The sequence below is a fragment of the Homo sapiens genome, chromosome 4 (assembly GCF_000001405.40).
Source record: "Homo sapiens chromosome 4, GRCh38.p14 Primary Assembly".
Lineage (NCBI taxonomy): Eukaryota > Metazoa > Chordata > Mammalia > Primates > Hominidae > Homo > Homo sapiens.
Window position 1 is genome coordinate 95,372,401 of NC_000004.12, and position 27,587 is coordinate 95,399,987.

The following is a 27,587-nucleotide window of genomic DNA, read 5'->3' on the forward strand; positions in this document are numbered from 1 at the left end:
TGACACAAATGCAGACATAATGGTCTCCATGATATTTTGGATGACATCCCCTATCACATACAGAAAAGCGATTTCCAAACGGGAAAGGTTGCTCTGTTAGGTATTATTGATTTCAAAGAGATTTCTTAATTCTTCCTCTTATTGTTATTCCATAAAATTGAGAAATAGTCAAAAACATTTTATGGGATTTAACATCCTGATTTTTAGTTTCTTTGGCCCTGTTTGGGTACTATTACATTTTTATTAAAAATGAGTATTCGTTCCACATTCAAAATTAGATCTAAGGCATATTACAATAGAAATAGATATAAAATATAGCACTTACAGGCAGAACGAATGTGTGGTTGGTGGTTTGTTAACACAGGAGAGATTTTCTTGCTCTGCTTCTATGCAAGGTACTGAGACATCATTCTATAGTGCTCAGAGGATGCACAAATATAACAAAAGAGTTCAGTTTAGATTTCTGAAAAGTTGGGTGTAAGAAGTAGCACCAGGCCCTAGGTCCTGATCAGGAAGAATCCTCAAGCAGCTACACCATCACAGGAGAGTAAAAACAATACAAGGTTGTAGCAGATTCTGCCAGCACTCCTTGAAGCTAGGATTAAGTTCTGATTTCCTAAAGACCAAATATACCTCAGATTCAACTCCTACAACGTCTTCTGCTACCAACAGAGTCAAAACCACCATCATCTCACTATCTCTTGTCTTGTACTATAGTAATGGCCTCCTTGCAGGTTTCCTTGTTTTGACCCCTAAACGCAACTATCCCGCAACAGCCAGAGTGATCTTTTAAAAACATAAGTAAACACATGCCACAACACTACTTAACTGTTCCCCGGCTTTCCATGGTTTCATTTTACCATGGCCTAGAATGCCCTACATCTATATGAGCTGACCCTCTTCTTATTCTATTTCCTAACATTTTCTCCCTCCCATAATCTGTGCCAGTCACTCAGACTTTCTTGGTGTTCCTCTAATACTTACTAAATAATATCCTTCTAGGTATCCACATATCCTGCTCCCTCCACGCATCCAGGAGCACTCTCTACTGTTGCTTTGCCAAAGAATACTTCCCTGACTGTGATCCGTCTCCTTACGCACCATTTCATTCTTCTTGGTGACTTTTATCCCTGCCCAATACTGTGGCAATTGTTGATGTGTTGATATGATGTTTATCTGATTCTTCCTCCCAAATGTCCTAACAGTTTGTTTGTTTCGCGGCTGTATCCTCAGCACTAGCACAGCAACTGGCACAAGGTAGACACTCAGGAAATAGCTGCTGAATAAGTGAATGAGCCCTGAGTTTATGGGACATAAATAGCTTAGCTGTTGAATATGGGATGGAAAGACACTGATTCATTTTACAAATGTGGGAAGGGGGTGGCGAGCTTCCATTAATGTCCCTCTGATGTTGAACTATGTTATGCTTCAAAATAAGAAAGCAGGAGTAAAAATTATTTCATCTTAGTTTGTTAAGCCATTCTAAATATGATGAAGTTATTTTGATGACAATCTCTAATGGAATCACTACACATGAGATCTGATCTCCAGTTGGCCTCCAACTGTGATCTTTTCCTGCATTTGAAGAATGGGTCTGAATTAGCCCTTAAATTACATTATAAGCAAGTTGACATACCAACAAAAAACTCGGGGAGCACGTACTCTGATGTTAAGAAAACAGGAAGGAGATGTCAAAGCAACATCCCTCAGGACTCTTCTTAATGAATTATGAAAATAATTCAAGAAAACAAAGGAGAATAATATTTCAATGCAGACTTGCCCTCAACATTTGCCGGGCTCAGGATAAGAGTGCAAATGGAGGTTTGCACACCATATGCCTAGATACTTCAAGGTTATATATCAAGGCAACAAAGTATTAAGTAAAATATTTATTATCCTCTAATCTTGACAAATATATCTTCTAGAGATATATTATAAAGCTAAGTTCCAAATTATCATTCTTTAAGTGCTTTGAGTGTCACGGGTTTTCAATGACCAGATTCCTTAGTTGCCATAAGCAGCCCTGCATATGCCTCTATGGCCATCCTGGTCCACTGCACATGCTCTGTCCACACCCCTTACAAGCAGTCGCTCCTTGGCCTCCCCTCAGAATCAGGGATTTACACACTGACAGCAAGGCTTCTACTTGAGAGGACAGGCCCAAGCAAATGATCCATGCAGACCCTGGAAAGCAAGCTAGAGCCATTTGAGCAGAAAATTCTGGAATCTTGACTACCCAAGGCATAATCTAGAAGAGAAGGTAGGTGAGGAGGAGCATAGTTGGGGAAAGGCTCAAAATGGGGACCCTCTGGAGAGGGAGGCCCAGGGTGGCAGGCCATCTAACCCAGTCTAAGTGAGGCATGGTCTGGTGCAGTCAGACTCCTTCTCAAGAGGACATGAAAGAAGCAGAAAAGTATGGAAATCAAGTATAATATATATGTCATATAAAGTAAATACAAAGTTTAGAAAAATTTACAGTACTGACTCTCAGGAAGTTAAAAATGTTATGGTTGCTAAATTATAATAACATCGCAGGTTGAACTATAATGCTGAATATTTAAATCAGCACTTCAAGCATGAAACAGTTGAATTGATATAGAAAAGAATATAGGTTAGAGTAACATGTAGTAAAAATGCTTAACAGAGACTGGAAAGTGGATATTTTATTGTATTTATCTTTCCTTCATCCTTCTTGCCTAGTAATTTGTCACGTAGTAGACTCACAATAAACATTTGGATAAGAAGGAGATGAACAAACAAAAGCTAAATTAAGAAATGATGAGAGAAAATGACAGACACAGAGATACATAATAGGAGTTCAGAATCACCATAAAAATGAATTAGAATTGGTTATGAAGAACATAATTGAAGAAAGCATTTTAAAACTTAGGTAAAAATAAGAAGAAACCAATATCAAAGTAGTTTCTCTTAAGATTCTTTCATGTCATAGAAAAATACATTATCCATACTTCCAAACAGGGTAAAAAAATGACAATGGATTATTTTAAAGGAGACCATTTTCAAGAAATACGTCAGTATTCCTTTTACAATGAAGAAACAGGATAAAAGTTGGAATATAAAGATGATTGTTATAAAGAAACATGTTAATATAAAATGCTAATCTGAAAACCCACAAAAGCATCATACAATTAATTTGAGGCAAAAAGTTTTTGATGACATTTAACACTCATTCTTAATAAAACCATTGAAAATAAGATTAGAAGAACAATTTTCTAATAGCAAAGTACCTATCTTAAGGCGAAACGCAATATTCTTTATGGGAAAATTCTTCAGAAATTTCCTTTAAATCCAGGAATAAAATAAGCATGCTCATTATTTAGCATTATTGTGGAAGTTATTTCTCATCCAAGAATAGTTTTAAAATATACAGAATAGGCCGGGCGTGGTGGCTCACGCCTGTAATCCCAGCACTTTGGGAGGCCAAGGCAGGTAGATCACGAGGTCAGGAGATTGAGACCATCCTGGCTAACACGGTGAAACCCCGTCTCTACTAAAAATACTAATACCTGTAGTCCCAGCTACTCAGGAGGCTGAGGCAGGAGAATGGCGTGAACCTGGGAGGCGGAGCTTGCAGTGAGCCGAGATCATGCCACTGCACTCCAGCCTGGGCAACATAGCAAGACTCCGTCTCAAAAAACAAACAAACAAACAAACAAAAATATATATATATACAGAATAAACAGAATCAATGTTTGATTCATTAACTCATTTTAAAATTTTCCCTTGAGATATCTGTTCCTTTCTATATATACTTACACATACATCTCATATATGTATGAATACATACATATTTATACATATATATCTTATGTGTATGTATATATATATGCATACACACAAATATATATTTGTTTTCAGTAAATTATTTTGTTCTTAATTCTGTACTGCTGAACTATACAGTAATCCAGTTTCTACTCTAAGAAGCAGGTTATATGATATTAGAGACTAAAAGAAAATAGATTCCTTTTAAACATTAAAATCGTTTTCATATTCTATATGAACAAGTATATATAAATGCTATGCTGATTTATCAATATTTATGTTGGCTAAAAACAGGGTCAGCTTGAGAACCAGGAATCAATTTATACCTTTAGAAGCTCCTATTTTGAAAAATCAGTTTAAATAACTCTTTCCAAGTTATAAGAACCTCTTGAAATGTTCAAGTGATCCTATAAAATATTTTTATTATGATGACAACTGATTTATGAGTACATGATTTTGAACCAAAATACAGTCATTTGACATAAGGGTTAAAGTTACTTTGAAATAAGAATAGGCTGCAATTGTATCAAATTGTTTCTAAGTATTTTCAAATTACTTTTAAGATAAACCACTATTGTTGTGTATAATGAATACACTCTACATCCATCCAATATTTTATTGTTAAAAATTCACATTTGACCACTTAATATGCAAGTATTTTTACTGAAAATATGGTTTCTTCTTACAAATTGAGTGGAAACTCAGCTGAGCCCAAGAGCCCCTCCAGTGCTCCCTTTACAACAGTTCTGGTTGTCTGCCTTTTTGCTGTTGTTTTAAGCCAGCGAAGTGCTAATATCATTCTCCACTTGCAGGCCTTACTCTGCAGAATTATTTAACACTAGACACACTGGTATAGGGAAATCACTGTTCAGTAGTAGCCAGGGAACATAATCAGTTCCTTGATTTTTACTTTGGAATGTAATAGCACTGAGGGAAAAGAAAACCAAACAACAATGACAAAAGGAGTAGGCAGGAGGGCTTTATTGGTGGGGGTTGTATTTAATATTATTTCAAAATCACACTTTTCAATTTTCTGCTTTGTAATGAACTACAGCCAATTACTTCCCATCAACACTGATAAAAAGAGCTGTCCAACTGTTCAACATTTGCTTTGCTAATTGAATGATCAATTATTCAAATAAATGATTTTCCCTATCAAGCTCCAGGAAAACCTTGGTCGTTGTTCCAGCCCCAGCTATAACATACTGTGGAGCAACAAAGAAACTAAATCCAGATAGAACCCTGAAATGTTAAGATAAAAATCCCTCTAATTGGGTGAAGATTTATGGCAAGTGAAACCGCTTTGGCATCTCATGGATTCTGATCTTTTCTGAGACTGCTAATCCCACCTTCTCCTAGCCTATTTTGCTGATTAATTCATTGGCAAGTATCTCTGTGTTCCCTAAGAACATGCACTTTGTTAGGTAATGGGTTTTAATGATTAGTCTAAATGCACTCCTTCTTTGCCAGCAAAGAAAGACCTCTCTCTAAGTCATCTTAGCCCCAAGAGGACTTTGTGAGGAGTGGGAGTCTGGGTGGTGCCAGGGGAATTCTCAGCTGACAGATGGCAGATGTGTTCTGTGTTCACGCCCTACAGTTAGGTGGATTAATAGTAGCTCAAGGTCATTCTGTGGATTTGGTCTTTTAAAGTCAAAATAACTTTTAAAAGAGTTAGACAATATGTATAAGCAGCTAGTTTCCATATGTTCGCGGTATTCTGAAGGATTCCTTCTCGATAACTGACTTGCTTTAAATATACAGCAAGTAGAGCTCATGTGAATGGGCACAGGTTCCTTCCCCACCCTCCTTCCAATAATTATTTTCAAAGACAGAGTCTGGTCTTATTAGATGGAAGCTCACATTATTTTCTTTCACTACATTTACCTATGTCTAAAAGCCACATAGTTAATAGAAATCCAAGATTCAGTAGTTTATATATAGAGAGAGTATCCTTTCATGGACAGGTTATGTTCTTTCCCAAAGGAATACGCTGATGGAAATGAGAATTATAGTTTTAACAATTCATGTTAGTTTGCAACTGAATTGGCCACATCAAAAGTGTACAGTAAATGCAAAATGTAACTCACTTTCAAAGTAGGAATTAAAAATCAGATCCTTAGATATATAATCTATTAATAAGAAGAACATTTACTAAATTCAACAGAATTTTATCTCAAATCAGGCTAGGTTGAAGTACTGAAGAAAGCCTACGTAACTATCATAATTTTTATATCTTAAGGGTATTGTGGCTGATGATCATTTCAGAAGCTAAGAAAAGAGTCGGACTTTTTGCATTTACTTAAACAAACACAATTTTTGCAAATTCTAATTAGTAATAGCCTCCACAGAGTAATAGCTTTTGATGGATCACCAGAATAAAAGCATTATAAGGGCTGAGGACTTTGTCCCAGTACATGGCATACCATAGATCTCCAATAGATATTTATTTAATGAATGAATAATTCCAGGTAGGTAGAACTACTTCAAACTGTATTTGATTGTTCTTTCATAGTAAATTTGAGAGTAGAGCAAGCATGTGGTTTTAAAATCTTGACAAAATCAGATTAAAAACTACAATTTCTAAAATTTTACACTAGTGACTTCCTATAGCTACTAAGCACAATAATTTAGGGTTATTTAAAGTTGCTTAGAAGTAGTTGATTTACTACTGTCTTTGTGAAATGTGTCTAGAAAAAACACCAAGTCTTCTTTGCAAAGCTTGGAAACTTGAGCTAACATTTTACTAGTATTTTTATTCTAAGACTTAAATTGACTGGCTACATGATTATGTTCTGGGTAGGAAAAATTACATATTATTCCTTACTTTGGAAGTAGGAACTAAGCCCTCATACTAAGGATAACTTATTGGTTCTGATACACATAATTTAAAAACTATTGGTGCAGGGGAGGAAGGATAACTGGGGCGAGGAGTAGAGAGACAATAAAGAAATAGTCTGATCAATAATAAATAGGATACTAAGAAACACCCCAGAGACTCCATGCCTCCAAGTTCACTTAAGTCTTAACGTACTTTACATTTCAAATCATATCTCACAAAACAAGTGATAGGATTACACTGCTAAATCCATAAGCATTGATTTTTGTCTCAGTCACAGATGCATGCTGTGCACTATTGGAAAATTTGCTAAAATAGGTTTATGCCATACAATGACTATCATGTAGCAAGCACTCTATCTATAAACTTGCTGGAGTCTTTAACAAGCAATTATCTAAGCTTTAGAAAATACAAACAACATTAAATTATGCGAAAACCTCTCTGGACATGTTCATGAATCTTTCCCATTTCTACCATTTTTCATTGTTACAGAGGCCTTCCTATTCCCCAAGCGGAGTATCCTGCTTTCTAAAAATCACAGTACACATGTGTGAGCTTTCAAAGTGTTTTTAGGAAATATCCCCAGTGGACTCTGGAGAGCTTGCCTTCCGGTCAGAGAAAGAAGAAGCGCTCAAATGGGCTATTATTTTCACTGATAGATCGACCTCATTCCTTGTGGAATTTTGGATTTAGTTTCACATGACTTAGTTTCACATGGTGGTAGATCAGCTCTCCGCAGCCATCAGAATAAGAACGGCTTGGTACTTCTTAGGCGCGATAAGGAGTCCGAGAGGGCAGAGGCGCTAAGATACGGAGGTGACAAGATGGCTGCGCTGCCTCAGGCTTTCGTTAGTTCTGTCAGCTACTCTTAGAGAAGGGTTGTTAGTTTGGGCTTGTAGGTGTGTTAAGACATAAATGGTGGCTGAAAGACGTGTGGCTGCATGACGTAAAATGATACCTATTATTGCAGCATTTGTTTCATTGATTACTTTGCTCCTACTCCATTAGAAACTTTCTGAAACATCTTCTTTAAGGTTTCCACTTCCAAAATTCTCTTTGGTCCCTACTTTATTTTAATGCCCTCTCTGTTGTCTTGATTCGCTGCTTCTTTGTCCACGTTGATGGGAATCAATCATATTTTGTCCCATTTTCTCATGCTCTTACTTTTGTTTTAGCTATATTCCCATATCTAGCTCCTTTGTGTACTTTATACGTATCTAAAAATATTTTGGATTTAATGTTTAAAATAATATAGAACAGTTCAATTTATTTTAAAAAGTCAAGGTGATCAGTTTACATTTTGTCTCATTAACATGGTCAAATTTAGAGAGATAGAAATCATACATTATAAAGAATCTTGAGATCACTAATACAATTATTACTACAAATTGCTATTTTTCCTCATGTCTAATACTTAAGAAACATTTTTTTTTTTTTTTTTTGAGAGACTAGGTCTCACTGTGTTGCCCAGGCTGGTCTCGAACTCCTGGCCTCAAGCCATCCTGCCTCAGCCTCCCAAATCACCAGATTACAGGCATAAGCCACCACGCTTGGCCTACAAACTATTTTTAACATAACTTCTTAAGATCACCATTTACCCAGAAAAGACAAAAAACAAAACAAAACAAAAACCCTGCGAACTAAATCCCAGATTTTCTATAATGACATTTTTCTTACCTTTCTGTGTGTAACAAACAATCCCCTTTTGCAAACGTGCTGGACTAAAACCTTACATTTATTCAGAATTCATTAAATAATCATCTCTAATTTCTATGATTAAGCATTTACCTTCAGTTTTGCATGCAGCTAATAGCATTGAGCCCACTTTAATTAACTTAACCTCATTACAGAAAGGATGGCTCTCCCAGGGACCATGTGACAACTGCAGTGTGAAAGTTCATATTTTGTGCAATTTTACCATACCAATTTAAAACCTTTGTTGCAATGAATATTTGTTAAGTATGTAATTTATATTAAAGATGATTTTACTCATTACATAGGAGAAGAAAACAACGTATTTAGGATTTAATATTCTTAATTCAAATACCTGAGATAATTACTTTGTATAACTACATTCTTAAGGAGCTTTTTGTTTTAGAAACATATACTTAAAAAAAGTTTATTGCACTATCATCAAACAAGAAAAAAATTTCTTATAGGTACAGAGTGAGATGTATGCTTGCTTCTGAGTATGAACACTCATCATCACTGAACATCATAGTGCATCCACGAGAGCCACTTTGAAGAGCTATACCATGGAGCTGGATGTGTTGATTGTGTATTTCTGTGACATTATTTATGAATGTACGGAATGGCCTGAAGTTCACAGCAGATCTGGTATGAAAGGAAAACGTGTGTATGTGTGGGGATGCCAAGTTTCTAGAAGAAAACTGGAGTGAAGGGGCAACAACTCCTATTTGTGTGTCTTTTAATTTTATCTTTTCAAACAAACATGCCTTTTCTAGCTTTATTACCAGAAAGAAGAACTACCAGTCCTCCTCCTCTACCACCATATATCACTGTCCGTGAGACAGTAAACTTGAGTGGTATTAAATTTAACAAAAAAATTAAATTTGGAATATGTCTAAACTCAGATATTAGAATGTCACATCAAATTGTACCACTTAATTATTTGATAGTTTGTGTCTAAATTTTGAGTGCTTTACTGTCAACAATGAATATCTGAAATTATTGCATGATGTATTGCATATACATTGATTAAATGGCAATGTAAGTGCTTAGATTAAAAAAAACCTGCTAAAATGTTAAATCAGAACTATAGATCTTTGTGGTTATTGGGATATTGAGACAGCGGAGGACTTTCATATTGGTATGATGCCAGTTTAATAGTGATTGGTTATTGATCACAACCCTGGAATGCAGGTATAGGTGTGTGTATGGGGCAGTTGGTGGGTAATAGTCTCTTAGAAGAAAAGAGCAAATCCCAAACTGTAGGGTTACTAAGGCATCCACTCTCAAGCTCAGGAGTCCCAGACGAAGTAAGAAGCTTGTCTCCAAGCTTCCCAGTCAATCCACAATTGGTGCTAATGAGTTTGCTCAGGTCAAGTGTAGCAGGTTTCAATAAGTGTTTGTCCTTTTTACCAGGATCATTACTGTGGCCCTTCAGGAACATATTTAAGTTCTGTGGGACTTGAAGCTTAAAAACTTTCAGGCCAGGTGGTGCAGCTCACACCTGTAATCCCAACATTTTGGGAGGCCAAGGAGGGAGGATTGCTTGAGTCCAGGAGTTTGAGACCAGCTTGGGCAACATAGTGAAACCCTGTCTCTACAAAAAATAAAAAAATTAGCCAGGCATAGTGGCATGCGCATGTACTCCCTGCTGCTCGGGAAGCTGAGGGAAGAAGATCACTTGTGGCTGCAGTGAGCTGAGACTGTACCACTGCACTCCAGCCTGGGTGACAGAGTGAGACCGTCTGTCAAAAAAAAAAAAAAAGAGTGTTTTCATTAAGATGAATAATCCAAAATCATTTTGCATAAATCCATCTTTTGAGAATAGACAATAGCTTAGCTTTTAATCATGCTTATATTAATATATGAGAAATATTAATATATGAGAAAACTGGCACTCAAAAGGAATTGAGAAGGCATAATTGACCCATCCCCTCATTTGGGTAAGGACAGTATAGAGTCCTCAGGTGGAATAATCTACTCTCTGTCTCTGTCCTCTTTTGGCAATGGGATAAATAGCCTTGCTATCATTTGATTTTAAATTGATTCTCCTACTTAGCCACTGCTTTATCAATGCTTGGCTGAATGTAAAGCCAGAAGTGAGCAACTTCCTCAGGGTGCACTGCTTTTGATGGGTTAGCTGTCAAATGCTCCATTGTCCAAATTACACTGCTACTGTGGATTTCCTGCTAAGAAACAATTTACTGCAGCATTGGGCTATCAGTCTTGTGGGCTGTGTTGGTTTTGGGGTATCAAAATCTGATTAACTTAACCGCAGATACACAGCAGTTCCTACTGTTGCTTTCCCCAAATTTCCATTTACTGTATTGTTAGCAGGATATGATAACAGAGGCCCCATACAAGAAGCATCCCTAGAATAAACAGTAAGCAAAGCTGCCAAAGTTTAATCCAATATCAAAACTAAAGATAAGCACAAAAATAACAAATACAAAAACAGAAGAAGAAAAAGTATATCACCAACATTTTCTCATAGTTTTCTTCTTCCAGCAAAGGACACATCAGTTATCTGAGAAATATAAATATGTGTGTGTTTACACACACACACACACACACACACACACTTATTTATTGTTATACCTCTTTTCCAAACTAATGAGCAGATCTCTTTTCCAAACTAATGAACAAGCACATTCAATTATATGTGCATGGGTTTTATTTATTGTTATTGTTAAACACATACGATATACTGGGAAGTTAAAAGCAAATCTCTTCTACTGATTTTATGTTTTCCCCTTTTATAAAACTAGTCCCATAATAGCCATTCTTGAGATTTCTGTTTTGGTATGTTAAGATTCAATTATCACCTTACTGATTCAATACAACAACTTAATGATGAATCTGCTTACCTTTTGCTAACTGCATGTATGTATAAATACCCAACAACAGCAAACCAGGGAGATTTCCATGATATGGAAAACACCAGGCTGTTTACTTTTTATTCAATATGAGAGAGTTGAGTACTAGATTGAATTTAATCATTGCATTCAAGACAAGACCAAACATCAGTTTTAATATTGCATTTGTGATAAAATTGACATCCATATTTGCTAACTTAATTGAAGCATGACAATCAGCTTTAATATAAACTTCCCAGTTTTTAATAAATGGAGACATGGACATTCTCATTACATTAGCAAATAACTGCACATGTAACCTTTCCATCTTAATTTTTGATAAGACCAAATGGTTTCCTCTTCACATCAGGAAACTCAAACTTGTCTCTTTGGTTAAAAAATGGGAACTAGATTGTCTCAGAATGTTATTTTACTTCAATACTAAACACATTTGTAAATAGTATTAACTAATTTAACTCATAAAGAGCCATTAATTAGTAGTACAGTGTTCAAAAATGATTTACTCTAAGATAAAGTAATAACTAGGATGCTATGTTCCAAGCCCAAATATTTCATTATGTACAGATATAAGGGCCCAATGTGAAGCCCATCTGTACCTACTTTTTTAGTTTCATGAGAGAAATATTTATTGAATAACTATTACGTGCTAGGTTCTGTACCTGGTCTTGGAAACAGAATGCTTATGGATAGCCTCTATCCTTAAAAAGCACACGGTGTCATGGAGAGAGAGGTTGAAAATGATTACAAATACAGGAGTAATAGTATAAGTGTGAAGCAAAGGGAACAGATGGGCATGCAGGGGAAAAGTTTAGATGAGATCATGTTTTGCGGAACCTTGAAAGATGAGCCACTTAGGTGGGAGTGTGTGTCCAGGGCACTCTAAACACTCACCACGTTCCAGGAGGGGGCTGAGCAGAGCAGGTACGAAGAACGTCCAGGAGTGTGGTAAAGCTGGACCACAGTCAACACTGCATGAGTGTAGATAAAGGCTGGAGAGTGGGTAAGAACCTAATGGGTCAAATCAAGAAGCTTGAATGACATCCTGGCAGGAGGTCATTAAATAATTTTTCAGGGGGAAAATGACAAGTCCAGATTTCCATTTGAAAATGACTATGCTGTAGGATATGCGGAAGAGGGATTGGAGGGATAGAAGACAGAAAGCGGGTGAGTAGGCAGGGGGATATTGCAAAGCTGGTGAGAGACCAGGAGAGCCTCTACCAAAATAGCATCTTCGGAGAAGAGGGAACAAAATTTAAGATTCTTAAAGGCTAAATTGAGATTAGACCTCTGATTGTATGTGGTTACTAGAGGGGAGGGACAAGTTAGGAATGAAGTGTCTCCTTGGAAGACTGGTGCTACTAACAAATTAGGTGGAGAATGTACAGATAGGACAGGGTTAAAAAGGAGAAGAGACAGGAGTGCTTCATGTTGTATTTGTGCCCAGGGGGAGGTCTGGAGCTGATTTGGAAGTGGGAATGAGAAATCCTCCAGACTGAGGTGAAATGTTCTCAACCATTAGAACAATTATGGGCACCCTGTTCATATTATCCATTCACAGTGCTTTGTAGACTTGCAGTCAAAGAAAAAAAAACTTTTCATGCTCATAAAGACTTCATTTTATTTCAAACACGTTCTAAGAACATAACTGTGCTGTTTATGATTTTGTTCCTATTGTGTCGATGTGCGGAAGTGCTCGTAACCTATAAAAATGGTAGATGACTACTTGCAGAAAGATGGATAAACCCGTACTGCTGTACTGCTCAATTTTGTTCTTGTAAAAAATTTGTGTTTTCATTCAAATTCATTTTTGTCATCACTAAATAAGTAACAACTAAAGCCAAATGATTTTCCATTTCATAGAACTATAGAAAGTAGAAGAGCAATTTTAATAGCACAGTGTATTATTCCAAGATTCTACAATTAAAAGCATCAAAAGTGTCCACTGCTATCAAGTAGATGGTTCTTCTGTTAGAGAGAGGAAATAAAAAAAAAGTGCTTATACACGGCCATGAGAGGACTTCTGTAAATCTAACCTATTCTTACAACAAAATTACTATGTTTACTGATGGCTATCCATACTTTATCTCTAGTGCTTGCCAGTGGTTGAAGGTCCAGTCCCATCATGATTCTTCCAGTAGACAGACTACATGGAGGTTTGCTTGTAACCTGCAAACATCTTACACATGTTTAAGAAATATATTCCCCAGTCTTGTTTTTCTATTTAATATCTTTTTGAATTCTAATATATCCAGAATTCTTCTCTTTGGTGATATTTTAGTAATGACCTGAGAAAAATCAAGCTCTGTTATAGCATGAAAATTGTTACATAAAATGAAACCTAAAAGTTACTCTGTTTTATACGAAGTTAAAACACCAAAAAGCCTCAGTCCTCCCCAACCAGTATCTCCTGGCATTCGCTCTCCTCAAAGTGTCTGTTAATGGTACCACTACTACTGCTGGTACCCATTTGGAAACTTGTCTTGACCCACTTCTGACCAGCCATTGTAACCTGCAGTCAGTGTTTCTCCCGGTAATTTTTCTAATGTTTCTCCCATCTCTTTGTTCCTTCTGTCCTAGCTCACCACTGTATTATTACAACCAATTTCTAACTGAGTTCTTTGACACAACTTTTTTTTTTCTTTTATTATTATACTTTAAGTTTTAGGGTACATGTGCACATTGTGCAGGTTAGTTACTTATGTATACATGTGCCATGCTGGTGCGCTGCACCCACTAACTCGTCATCTAGCATTAGGTATATCTCCCAATGCTATCCCTCCCCCATCCCCCTACCCCACAACAACTTTTGAGCCCAGATAATACTTTCTGCATGTATTATGGGCTGAGTATTCACTTCTCCACATTTTTTCAATCTTATCTCTTTCTTTACTGCAACACTGATCTTTTGATCTGCTCACATATTTCCTCCTTCTGAGCTCTCCACACAGTTGTAAAGTTAAGACATGAATGGCTTTGATCACACACCACTGTCTCTACCTGAAGCCTTCTGTTCCTCTCTATCCAATGCTTGTTTAATCCTTTGAGATGCAGATGATCTCTCTTTCTCTCTGATGGTCTCTAACCAGTTCCGACTTGCTAGTCTCTCTCAGGGGCAAAAATGTTGATAGCAGGAGACACCATGGCCATATGTTCACCTTTGCTGGGAAGAACGAATGCTGGAGCTGTTCTCACTTCCCCCCAAAAAAAGCCCGAGTCTTGTGCTCCTCTTATGCTTAATTTAATGTGTGAAGCTGTGTTTTTTTTCTCCATGAAGATCTTTTTGTGGTCCTCAGTGGACATTCATATGGGTTATAATATAAGATTAGAAACCTATACAAGATGCCAACAAAATATGGGGTATATGCCAAGGCTTGGACATTTGCTGCAATGTTTATTCTAAAGTCTGGTCTTCTAGAGACACTTGTCTTTCATTTCTGGAAGAAAAAATATCCATTCTAAATCATAAAGAAGTAATATTTAAAAAATGCTTTTATGTTTTCTTTGAAATGGTGCCCTATTTCTTTTTCTTTCTGTCTCTCTATCTCACTCTCTCTCTCTTTTTATTTTTTTTTGAGACAAGGTCTCACTCTCTCACCCAGGCTGGAGTACAGTGGTGTGGTCACAGCTCACTGCAGCCTTGGCCTTCCTGGCTCAAGCCATCCTCCCACCTCAGCCTCTCAAGTAGCTGGGACTATAGGCACCCACCCTTATGCCAGGCTAGTTTTAATTGGTTTTGTAGAGATGGGGGCCTCACTATGTTGCCCAGGCTGGTCTCGATGACCTGAGCTCAAGCTATCTTCTCTCCTAGGCCTCCCAAAGTGCTGGGATTACAGGCGTGAGCCACCTCAGCTGACTCCTTTTTGTTTGAATGCAGTATCTTTAAGAATAAATGGCCATACCTCAAAATTGAAGATCCTGACATTTCTAATTTTGAGTCACTTTCTGCCCTAGCTTCACTTTTAAAATGTAATAAGGGCTCTGAAATTCTATCCACATGGAGGGCTAACAACTCAATACTAAAGGTTTTTAAAATAATGCATAATTCATCCTAAAACTCTGTGTTTCTATGACTGCTGTCCCATGAACTTTTGTAATCTGCCAGTGCAAAAAACAAAGTAAGATTTTTTTCTTTTTGCCTGTAATAATACATCTTAAACATCAGTTCAGTGTGGGTTTTCATGTTAGCTGGCATAGATACCCATCCTAAAATATTTTTACTTGTAATAACCTGATTATTTTAAGCTGTTCAGTGGAAACTGTCTAAATGATTGACTGCTCCCCAAAAGTATGGGAATGATTTCCAAGCTGTTTTCAAGGCAGTTAGGCAGATAAGTAAAACCCGTAAGAATTCTGTTCAAGAGATGGATGGTTCTACATTTGTTCCAGAGGGATATTTTTCATATTCAATGAGTAAGCACATTTGCTTTAACATTGAAAACTACCTAGCAGAGATGAACTATTTTTATGGAAATACTATAAACATTAAACATGCCACATTAATAATAATAATACAGAAAAGGGCTCTGAGAAATAGGAGTCTAGGAACATGAAGGATGATGTAAATTAAAAAACAACCACCACCAACAATAATAGGACAGCAAAAAAGTACAGTAATTTACCAATCTGGCACTACATAAAACTAGCAAATGTACTTCACAATGTTTATCTTTGCTATAATTTGCAGAACATAAAATAATACCTTGATTAAAAGTCTGATCTATTACTCATAGAATGGTTTTAGAGAATTTTTTTATAAGTTATTGTTTCACAATATAATCAAACTAGCCATCTTGGAACAGGTAAAGAAAAGCAAAAATCACATAGTGAAACTGATGAACAATTCCTTTTGCTTCTTGATGTAAAGATTTTGCACCCTAATTAAAAACAACAACAAATAAACAAACCGGGGATGAGGCCACTGGTATGCCACTCTTTAGGGTTTATGCTCCTTGAATTAACTTCACAATGGTCACGTACAGTATTTGCTTTCCTTCTTCTTAACTCCTGGTGATGAGTTTCAAGTGTAATGATGCCTGTGGTTCCACTAGTCTTGTAGAGTAACAGTTCATATTCTGAGCACTTACTCTGTGACAGGTACAAAGTCAAGGACATATTATCATTTAATTCTCCAATAACTTCATTGAGTAGGTCCTAATCTTATCTCCATTCTAGAATGAGGAAACTAAGGCTTGGAATGGTAAAGTAACTTCAGACAAATTCATATCATTTCTAAATGGTTCTGACTCCAGAATCATGCTTTTAATTTCTTTGCTATACTGTCTCTCTACATGGGCCTAAAGCCCTAATTTTTTTAAAAAGTAATGGCAACTAGTAAGCCTATATATTATATATAAAAGTGTTTCCTAGAGTCTGCCAGTTAAGAATCCATTGTGCTATTTAACATTTTTTTCAAAAATTCTTTGCCAGGTACAGGAAATGCTGCAAAAAGCTGCCCTAAGCATATTCCATGGATTTCCCAGTTGGCAATTTGATAGGCCTGCTGTTATTCAAAAACACTTGTCTTTAACCATACTAGAGCAATCAAGTGAAACAAAGCAGGTTAAACTGAAAGTATTTATAAAGCAGGGCACATGGTTATACAAACCCACAAAACATGCAAAGCTGTTGGAAAGAAAATCTGGTCAATTCCAGTACTAACAATCACAGTTAAGGCAATTTCCCAAGGTTTATCTTCCCATCAGTGCTTATAATGGATGTTTTACTATTCAATATTGAAAGGAAAATCTAAGTATTAATTACAGAAGGTATGTAGGTAATGTTTGCATTGCAAAATAAAGCACTAGTCAATAAAATAAAATAGATGGATAGATGAACTTTTTATCTCTCTTCTACAGCAATAATCCTGGTGACAGCACTGAATATCTAGAACGATAATTCTATCTGGTAGCCACTAGCTATATGTGGCTATCTAGCATTTGAAATGTGGCTGATATAACTTATTAACTGAATTTTTAATTTTAATTTATAATAATTGATTTAAAATTTAAATCAATGACTGATGCTTATTTCTGTTATTGGAATAATTTTAAGTATCTTTGGAATAACTTGGGTATGTAAATTTACTTTTTTCAAATATAAATTTTATGAAATCAAATACAGATCATGTATTTCTGATGAAAATTTAAAATCCACATTTGATGTGCTGTAAGTATAAAATAGACACTGAATTTCAGACAGTATTAAAAAAAGGAATGCAAAATCTATCATTAATAGTTTAAAAATATTAGTTACATGTTGAAATATTTTAGACATATTGAATTAAAATAATATTATTAAGATAATTTTAGCTGCTTCTTTTCGCTTTTTTAGTGTGAGTACAAGAAAACTTAAAATTAAGTATGTAGTGCCCATTATGGTTCTATTGGACAGCATTACGCTAGAAAGTATGACTGTAAGTTCATTAATTGTCTTGAAAATAGTGTAATAGTATGCCCCAAAACTCACTGAAATGACATTATTTTTCGATCATAATCTCCATTCTAGTTGCTACAGTAAAAAGTATCATACTAATTCATTATGAAGGAGACTCAGTAAGTGCTAAATCACCTGAAATAAAAGGGAAAACTGGGAGACATGGGGTGTCTAACTCATTCCATGACTTCAGATAGGACTGGTAGGTTAAAGCCAGGATTTGTTAAGATGCTTAGCCTGAAACTAGCTAGACAACTTTTGCAAGGGATGTTTCCATTTATTCAAAGACAGGCACATTCCCCAGAAGTTCTAAACAGAGGAGGATGCAACTGAAGAAATCTCTACAGCATTTTCATTCTTGGCTTCCACATTTCCAAAAAAAAAAAGACACAACAATACACTTCTTAATGATCCCAATGGTGTTCTATTTTAGACTACATTCCAACAGTAAATATACAAAAATAAATAAACACACAAGCAAACAAATGAAATGTGTCCAGAGGTCTGAATTGAGGTCCAAGTCCTGCAATTGTCCCCACCTCCCTGGGCCTATTTCCTTATTTCCATAATGGAGTCAGAGAGGCTTGGGGTCTCTACAAACTTTTAGTTCTAAAGTTGGTGATTCTACACGAATTCTAAGAAGGTGACACTTACATAATGCTTTACATTTTCCATAGCACCACTTCCACTTATTTAACTCAGAGCAACTTGGTGACAGGCTTTTTCTTGACACAGGGTCTTGCTCTGTTTCCCAGGCTGGAGTACAGTGGAACAATCATGGCTCACTGCAAGCTCAAACTCCTGGACTCGAGAGATTCTCCCATCTCAGCCTCCAGAGTAGCTAGGACTACAGGCTTGAGACACCACCATGCCCAGTGAGATGATTTGGCTGTGTCCCCACTCAAATCTCATCTTAAATTGTAGCTCCCATAATCCCCACATGTTGTGGGAGGGACCAGGTGGGAGTTAATTGAATCATGAAGGTGGATTTTTCCTGTGCTGTTTTAGGATAGTGAATAAGTCTCAGGAGATCTGATGGTTTTATAAATAGGAGTTCCCCTGCACACGCTCTCCTGCCTGTTGCCATGCAAGATGTGTCTTTGCTCCTTCTTCACCTTCTGCCATGATTGTGAGGCCTCCCCAGTCATGTGGAACTGTGAGTCCATTAAACCTTTTCTTCTTTATGAATTACCCAGTCTCAGGTATTTCTTCATAGCAGTATGAAAATGGACTAATAGAACCCAGCTAACTTATTTTTAATTTTTGTAGGGACCAAGTCTCACTATGTTGCCCAGGCTGGTCTCCGACTCCTGAACTCAAGTGATCCTTCTGCCTCTGCCTCCTAATGTGCTGGGATAAACTGACACATTTTTAGAAAGTGAAGAGCCTAGGACTACAACTAATCTAAATCATTTTTCAGTATATTATACTGATTGTCATTTTCTGACAATCACAGAAATTATGCTGAATAATTTTCATGTATTAAATCATTTATAAGAGATGAGCTAGAAAATCAGATATCTGTCATTTCTTTCCAATATATCTTGTATTCTTTCCTTTTCTTCCACTGTCAATACCACATTTTATATGTGAACTTCTATAACTCTGTATTGATGTATTAAATATAGATACAAATGATTTAGTAGACAGTGTCATAACTATTTTAATGATGACCAATCCCTTAACTTTGTTCAAATACCATGCTCTACAAAATATAAAGTGAGCTTTGTCCTTTCATGGTAAAAAAAAAAAAAAAAAAAAGGCACTTTTAAAGAGAGGCCAAAGCACTGTGGCTCACACCTGTAATCCCAGCACTTTGGGAGGCTGAGAGAGGTGGATCACTTGAGACCATGAGTTTGAGACCAGCCTGGGCCATGTAGAGAAACCCCAGCTCTAGCTGACCCCTGGCACACCCCTGTCGTCCCAGCTACTCTGAAGACTGAGGTGGGAGGATCACTTGAGCCCCAGACGTCGAGGCTGCAGTGAGCTGTGTTCGTGCCATTGCACTCCAGCCTGGGTGACAGAGTGAGACTCCATCTCAAAATAAAAAAGAGGTAATCATAATATTCTTTTAATGTAGGTTGAAAAACAAATGAGTATTTTTTACAGAAATGTATCTTTAAGCCCTAGAAAAGCTAACCTTAAAAACTGGGTAAGTTTAAAAAATTACCCAATTTTTAAGCAAGGATAACTCCCTTCACTCCCTAGAAACTTAGCTCATTATTGAGTAATTATATAGTTATTTCTAGCATCTTCTGTGAGTCAATAGAAAATAATTATATAACAGATAACATTTTTAGGCTAAGATAAAGTATTCTAGTTAAAATGCTTACTCAGTTTTAAAATGGCACAAATTTTGGGCATAATTTATATACTTAACAAAGGAATTTTTAAGAGTTTGAAGTATCAAAACATTTTTTTTTTTTTTAAAAAAAAAACAGGTTTCACTCTGTCACCTGGGCCAGAGTGCAATGCACAGGATCATAGCTCACTGCAGCCTTGAACTTCTGGACTCAAGCGAAACTCCTGCCTCAGCCTCTCAAGTAGCTGGGACTACAGGCATGCACCACCAGGCCCAGATAAGTTTTTAAAACTTTTTTTTTTAGAGATGAGAGAGTCTCATTTTGTTGCTCAGGCTGGTCTCGAACTGCTAACTTCAAGTGATCCTCCCTCCTCGGCCTCCTAAAGTGGTGGGATTACAGGTATGAGCCACGGAGCCTGGCTGAAACGCTTTTTCGATAGACTATTCCACTACAGAAATCTTATCACTACAAAGTATTAAAAAGCATCTTAAGAAAGAAAATAAGATAATTTTAATTTATAATATGTTTTATAATCCAATTCAGTAAACATATATTATTGGTTCAGAGGGACTAAAACCATATTGATTTACCTGTGATTATCTAAAAGTAAAAGTCTCCCATAAGACTATAAAAAAGACATATACATCTCACATTCCCCCAGGGAAATTCCTTCAGATCAGCATGCATGGTATTAGATGTCTGCAAATGCACCCTTTAACCTGGAAACAAAAGAGAAAAGAAACAGAGGGGATTTCTACCCTTGGGGAAAGTAGTAAGTCACTGGCTTAACTTTATTATACTGCTCTTCTGCTATGTGTCACTTCATGATAAAATGCAAGGTGGGAGTAGGGCAGATGGAGGACTTAGATGGTTCAGAAGGAATCTAAAAGCCATGACTGTTGACTGTAATGTCACTTCCTCCTCCCTAAGATATTAGGAGTTATTATTTTAAAGTCAAGGGATTAAACACAAAGTGTTGAGTGAATGTAAGTAATTTGAATTTTCCAAGATGGAACTTTCGTGACCCAGTCATACTAGTTGATGGTGGAACACTGTTGGAGGAATCAAGGGGGGAATATCAAGTAAAGAGGCAAAAGGCTGTCACTTGGAGATGATTATGACACACATACTATGTGTGATAAGCCCACTGGACATTTTCTATATTTTAAGCTGCTCCTGAAGTATTTTCTAAGTTAGAGTAATTCCACTTGGCACTCAGGACTTGATTAGGAAGTTCCACTGAATACCATTGACATTTCCAAATATTTAATTTTTTGTTGTGTCTAAGTATTGACTGTAGATGTTATTTCTATGGTCCAATTATCCATCTTGACCCTGAATTACAGATATGAGTGTTATTTTACCAGCTTTAGAGAATATTCAGTGTGCTGATACATTCTTCCCGTGATCGCTTATTCATTTGAAATTAAAAGCCTACTGATGTTTTATTACAGTGAGCTGTTCCAAAAATTACAGAGTTGCTTTCTTTAGAAATATAGAATCCAAATAGTAATTCTTATACAATCTACTGTTTTTTTTTTTTTAAAAAAAAACAGATTGCTATAAATCTCTCCTTTAGACACAAAGCCTAGAGGACAGTTTTGAATTTAAACAAGATTAAAGTCATGATAATGACACTCAGTTTTGTAAACCTATTCTCTGATCGTTTTATTAAGAAATGGAAAAACAAATGAAGATGTATGGCTGGGTAGCTAAGGACATCTTATCTGCAAATCTGTACTGACTATTGTTAGTGCATTGCCTTTAGTTGTGCTTTTAATGTACTAAAGCTCATACTGTGAAATAAATCTACTCTTTTCTGCAGTATTGCTTCTCCATTTGATTTATTTTAAAAGTTAGCTCAGCTTGACTTCTGTACCCAGCTGCTTTCTAAATAACAGATTTCTATCCACTTCTGAAACTTTAATAGTAATTTACAAAAAAAAAAAACCCTCCAATCCCACTAACGCAAGTTTTGAAAGGAGGTGATGAAATCTCACGAATGGGGGGTGCTAACTGTGTAGTCAGATCCTCCTTATTCTAGAAATAAAGTGCATCTAATTGGAAAACTCCTCTTGGGAGAACAGGGATCGACTTTTACCCACCCTAACTGCCAAAGGGCGAAAACTGGAGTAACTAAACAGAGTTCACTTTACCAACAAAAAATATAAAGGAGTACTTTTACATTGATTTTAAGAGATAAGATATGAATTGGGTGAGAAATATTCAATTTCGTGACAAGTACTTCCCAACAGATATTGTTACATAAAGCAAGAAAGGTGACAAAATTATATAATTACAATTCTGGCATCTGCTATGAAAAGGTATTTGCTGTGTGTGTGTGTGTGTGTGTGTGCTTTTCTCATTGGTCATTGCCTGGTATTATTTTTATCCTTTGTTAGTGTTCTTGCATTGTTTGCTAGAAAGTATGCTTTGCTGCAAGACACCAGTAAAATGCAATTCAGCAGCATAAGCGGCACTAGGATTGATGAAAAAAATGGAATAAGAATAAAAAAAAAAATAACTTCACTCTCCTCTATCTCTGACACCAAAAACAACAGGCTGTGAAAATAGTTTCATTAAAAAATAACAAGCCCATGCTCACCAGGGGATAGATCAGGGCAAACTGAATCAAAAATTCCTCAATCATTGCTCAAGTAGGTCAACTAGAATTAACTCAAAGGGCAAAGATTCAGAGTGAGCTGCCCATTTCTCACCAGTCTGCTTCTTCAGCCCTCCTGTCTGCCCAGGAGGGAAATGATATGGTGGAGCTCTCCATGGTGGGCATGTCATTTTGCCAAGCCTCTCTCAATACCAGTGTATAAAGGTGGGCCCATATTATGGATAGTATTAGTTTGAGCTCCTCCAGTTGTCTAGAATAAAATGCTAATCGGATGCAAAGTTATTTGCTTTTTGGGAATGTACTTCTGTGATTTTGAATTTACTACCTTACTTTTCAACAAAGCCATTAGTCTAGTTGTATGGTCAAAATGCTGGTGAATGTCTCAATAAAGCTATTTTCCTTTTGCACAGGTTTTATCAAAGCATTATTAACTTTATTCTTATATGTCAAATTATGTTCTTTATTTTTTAAAAAATTAGAACAAAGTCCCTTTAAATAGTGCTTGAGAGGAATTTGTCCAGGTTAAATCTATAGAGTTCTCTTAGTGTCCTCCTCCCAGACACTAAGGGTATAGCTGCCTGAGAGCAGGTCTTTTCTCTTCCTCTGTCATATCAAAGTTAAAAAGTCCTGTTAGAAAAAATATATGCTGCTCTAATGAAAATAAAGTTTTCATCTATATTACTAATCGGGGGAGTTTCTAGTCCTGACTTTTGTTATTAAAAGCATAGCAGTTTCTCCCATACAACAGTAGTTCCCTGAGTGCCCAGGGATTTATCACAAAGATCCACTATTTCTTCAGCAGACAGGCCAAAAAAGCTGTAGGGCAGAGAGAAACATGACAATGTGGAATTTCATTCAAAGAACATTAAGAATTTTAAGATAGCCACAGCAGAGCATTAGACCAAGCATGGGGCCCTTCTAAGGTCCAGTAGCCTTCAAGCCACAAGCCCATGAAGACTGGCCTGTTGGCCTGTCTCTGGGTCTCATAGAGTTGGAGTACACAGATGGGCAGCTTTCAGAGCAGCACAGCTTCTCTGGCTTCATCATAAGGAAACTTCTATGTTTCTATGTATCAGCCTTTGCAGTAAGAGCCTTAGGAACCATCCGGCAGGCTATCATTAACAGATAACCAATAACGAGGGCAAAGGTTTCAACCTAGAATAAACCCAGAGGATATTAATAGGAGGGTTTGTCTTTAGCAACTTCAGAAGCTACAGGGGAAGAGAGAGATTCTGCTGTGTAGAAAACATGTGCTGACCCATAGATATCAGAACACATGAATTCAGGATATGTTGCTCATTAATTAGCTCTATCATCTTGGGTAAGATATTCCAACCCCCTGGATTTCCTGCTTTTCACTTTAAAGCAAAGGTGTTAGAGACATGATTCAAGGGTCCTTGGAAAATTTACTAAGTCTGTGAGATAAGAAGAGGAGAGAAATGATATACATTTTCTTTTCTCAGGGAAATATCTCTACTTGTAATGAGTATTTAATTTTATCTAAAGGCAATGATGATGATGATGTTGATGATGATGATAGCAGCAGGAGACAGACAAATTTCTAGGCAGACAGGGATGGCTTGAACCCGACCTTCAAGCCAAAGGACAGTTTAAAGCCTGAAAACCGAGCTGGCAGTTCCAGATGGAGTCCACCACTGGAGTGAAAACTTCTATCCCTGTCTTACCCTCTCTCGACTGGTTCCTTCTGAATGATGCCTTTCACCCAATCGAATGGTGCTTTTCCAAGCCCACCCGTGGACCCATCAGCATGCATTTCCCCATTCTAAGCCCATAAAAACTCCCATTACTGAATTACTGAATCTACTTTTCATTTTAACAAAGTTGCAACCAAGAAACCATTATCCCTGATTGTGACCCTATGTTAACAACTGAACTAATTTAGTTTGCATTTAGCTTATTTAATCTTCATGAATGCTTTATGAAGTAGGTACTGTCATTATACCAAGTTTACAGGTAGGGGAATCAAAGCCCAAAAAGCTTAAGCATATCAACATTTACGAAGCCCCTCTCATGTGCTAGGCTCTATGGCAGAGTCATGGGTTTGATGCATTCAGGGTCGAGGAAGCCAGGAGGCTGAGTGCCAGAGAAGGGGCAGGGAAAAAAGGAAGGGTGGGCAGTCTTGTGTGTATTGTCTGGGTGCCAAAGGAAGAGTCTACAGCAGGGAAATGCAGCCTTTTGACAAGTGGGAATTAAAAGGAATTTCTTAAAGAACGTAACAGAAGTTCCACTCATGTTTCTGAAAAATGTAAGTGCTTTACACAAAACAAAAATGTTTCTGAAAAATATAAGTGCTTTACACAAAACAAAAATGTCTAACAAACTCCAAGGTTAATAAACTGGTGCATTTAAATCTGCACCACCCTTGTATTTTCAACTAAACAAATATGGATGTGATAATTCACATTTGATATTTGGCTAATCCCATTCTACCAAGGAGTTTTAAATAGTAACATTAAAGAAAAGTTAGTAAGAAAACACTCAGGCATCTAAAGGATTTAGTTAATTCTCCCCTAGACAAAGAACCTGGTGTCTTTATAGCTCTCCTAATTTCCCATTAAATATTACACTAATAATTAATTTTTTACGTACATCCTAAATATATTCTTCCAAAGTAGAAAAAGCACATTGAACAGGATAAATTGCAAATAGAAACTTACATAACTCTTTTTATATGTTTTGCATATTTGTGTCACTCAATACATAGGACATGAACGTACATGATGTGGCCAATACCATCCTTAAAATTCAATCCTTTGGACAAATGTCCGTATACTGAAAAAATAGCATCTAAGTTTTGATTGCCCTTCAGACTATTTGACATAGACTTTACAGAACAAAGAACATTTAAATTAACTGTGCAAAGCAAAGAGTAGAAATCATCTTATTATACAACATCAAGACAACTATCAAAACATTTCTTTAAAACTCATCTATATTTTAGAGCAGTAGCATTATTAATTGTCTGCATTCTGCCCCATCTTCATAATTCAATGTGTCCAGTCCTACATCTGTTGCATAAAATTGGCATATTTATTGCACCCTTGGGACACAATTTCCCAATGAGAAGTAGCCAAATGTAGCTTTTTTTTTTTTTTTTTTTGCTTATGTAAAATGCTACAGTGGATAACATACATCCTTGCTCCCAAAGTACAGGAAGAAAATTTATATCATTAAACACATGCAAATGAAAACACAGGATTCCATGCTTATCATCCAAACCACTTACCTGATTCATCAAAACTACTTGGGTAGTAGAACAAACTATTATATCTTCCCAGAATATTATGGAAAGGTATCCTCTATTGCTGAATAATTGAGTCTACTTTTCATTTTACCAAAGTTGAAACCAAGAAACCATCATCCCTTGATCCTGACCCCAGTGCTCCCCAACTTTGGTGGACAGATTCTGCAAACTGTCTACCAAACTAGTGAGATAACAGATGCAATGCACTAATCTAACTTCATTCACTCATTCATTCATTCATTCATTCATTCAACAATTGTGTATTTGCTAAGCACAAGGTAATAAGGAAAGTTCTACTGTAGCAGATAATTCTCCATGTAGTGTTTGTATCATTCTAAGCCATTGTTGACTTGCTAATACTGTCCATTTGAAAATAAAAACCCTCATTTTAATTACTAGGTTAGACAAAGCAATGAAGATGTATCTCCTGTTTCTTGTTTCTGTTGCAAATTATGTATGTCTAGAAGACAATAGGGCATTGATTCTCAACCACAAGTAAATAAAGCATGTAGACTTAGTCTTAATGAGATAAGGTTTAGTCTGTGCCTTCTCAGTGGGATGGTTTTTGCTATTTTGCTTTTTAATTGGTAGCAAAAAACTTCAACAGTGTGTCCTTTTTCTGCCTACAGTGAATTCTACATGGGAATGGAGTTGCTGTAGAGAGCTTTTGGATATAAATGCTGCTTTAGAGCTAATTAGATAAAAATCACAGAAAAAAAGTATTGTTTCTTACTGGAGAGGAAATTTGAAATATTTTACTCCATGAATTCTCTGAATAATACAGGAAAACTGTAGAATCTAGTCTCTTTAATTCTCTACTGAAATCATCAAAAATAAGGTCAGTTTACTTTAAACTTGCTATTTATATCACATAGGTCTTCCTAATGCCTTAGACAAAATTGGGATAACAAATATGAACAGAAGTATGCCACCTGCAATGTTTTTAAGTCCCTAAAATAAAAATGCAATCACTAGTTTTAAAAAGGACAAAAAAATGACATAGGAAGAAGTATCATGCTAAAAGCAGTATTCTAAAAATGTTAACTAAGACATGATTAAATACCAATTACTTTAATTTCGGCAGTGTCTTCCCTAGAGACTACCTGGGAAATACTGTCAACAACTCCACAAAAAAGCATCACACTACATACAAGAGGCAAGAACCCTTTCAAGTTAATGAGGATTTTTAAAAATGCAAAAGATTGTTTCTCCTTTAGTGATTTTCAAATTGGATTATGTCAGTCCCTTGCATAAAACTCTTCAATGGATTCCCATGCAGTTAGGATAAATGTAAAATCCTCATGATGGCCTGAATCCCCTTCCTATCTCCCCACTTTTATCTATCCACAGGGCATATTCTCTATTTACACTGGTATTTTTCCATTTTCTCCGAAAGACCTAATTGTTCCTGCCTCAGGGCCTTTGCTCTTGTGTTCACTCTACCTCAAGTTTTCTTCCTCTTGAATAACTTCTAGGCATTCTTTAGGTAGTCAAATGACATTTCTTTAGGGAAGCATGCCCTGATCACCAACTTCAAAGTACTTTTTCTTATTCTCTTTTATAGCACCAGAGTGGATTTTCCTCATTAGTCATTTTCTTAGAACCCTGCTCCTTTCCTCCTCAGTACTTATTAGAAACTAATTATGTATGGGAGTAGGATTTTTGTTTGTTTGTCTTTCATGTTAGTCTTCCCCATTAGACTATGCTTTACAGCTATAGGGACTGCATCTCCACTGTTTACCCCTAATTGAGCACAATGCCTTCATATATTCACAGGAAT

At 36.4% G+C, this 27,587-nt stretch overlaps 1 protein-coding gene across 2 annotated transcripts in view; it reads right to left on the reverse strand.

Moving 5' to 3' along the window:
* Positions 1 to 27,587, reverse strand: part of UNC5C (unc-5 netrin receptor C) — a 386,470-nt gene that overhangs the window by 209,897 nt on the left and 148,986 nt on the right. The window lies entirely within an intron of this gene.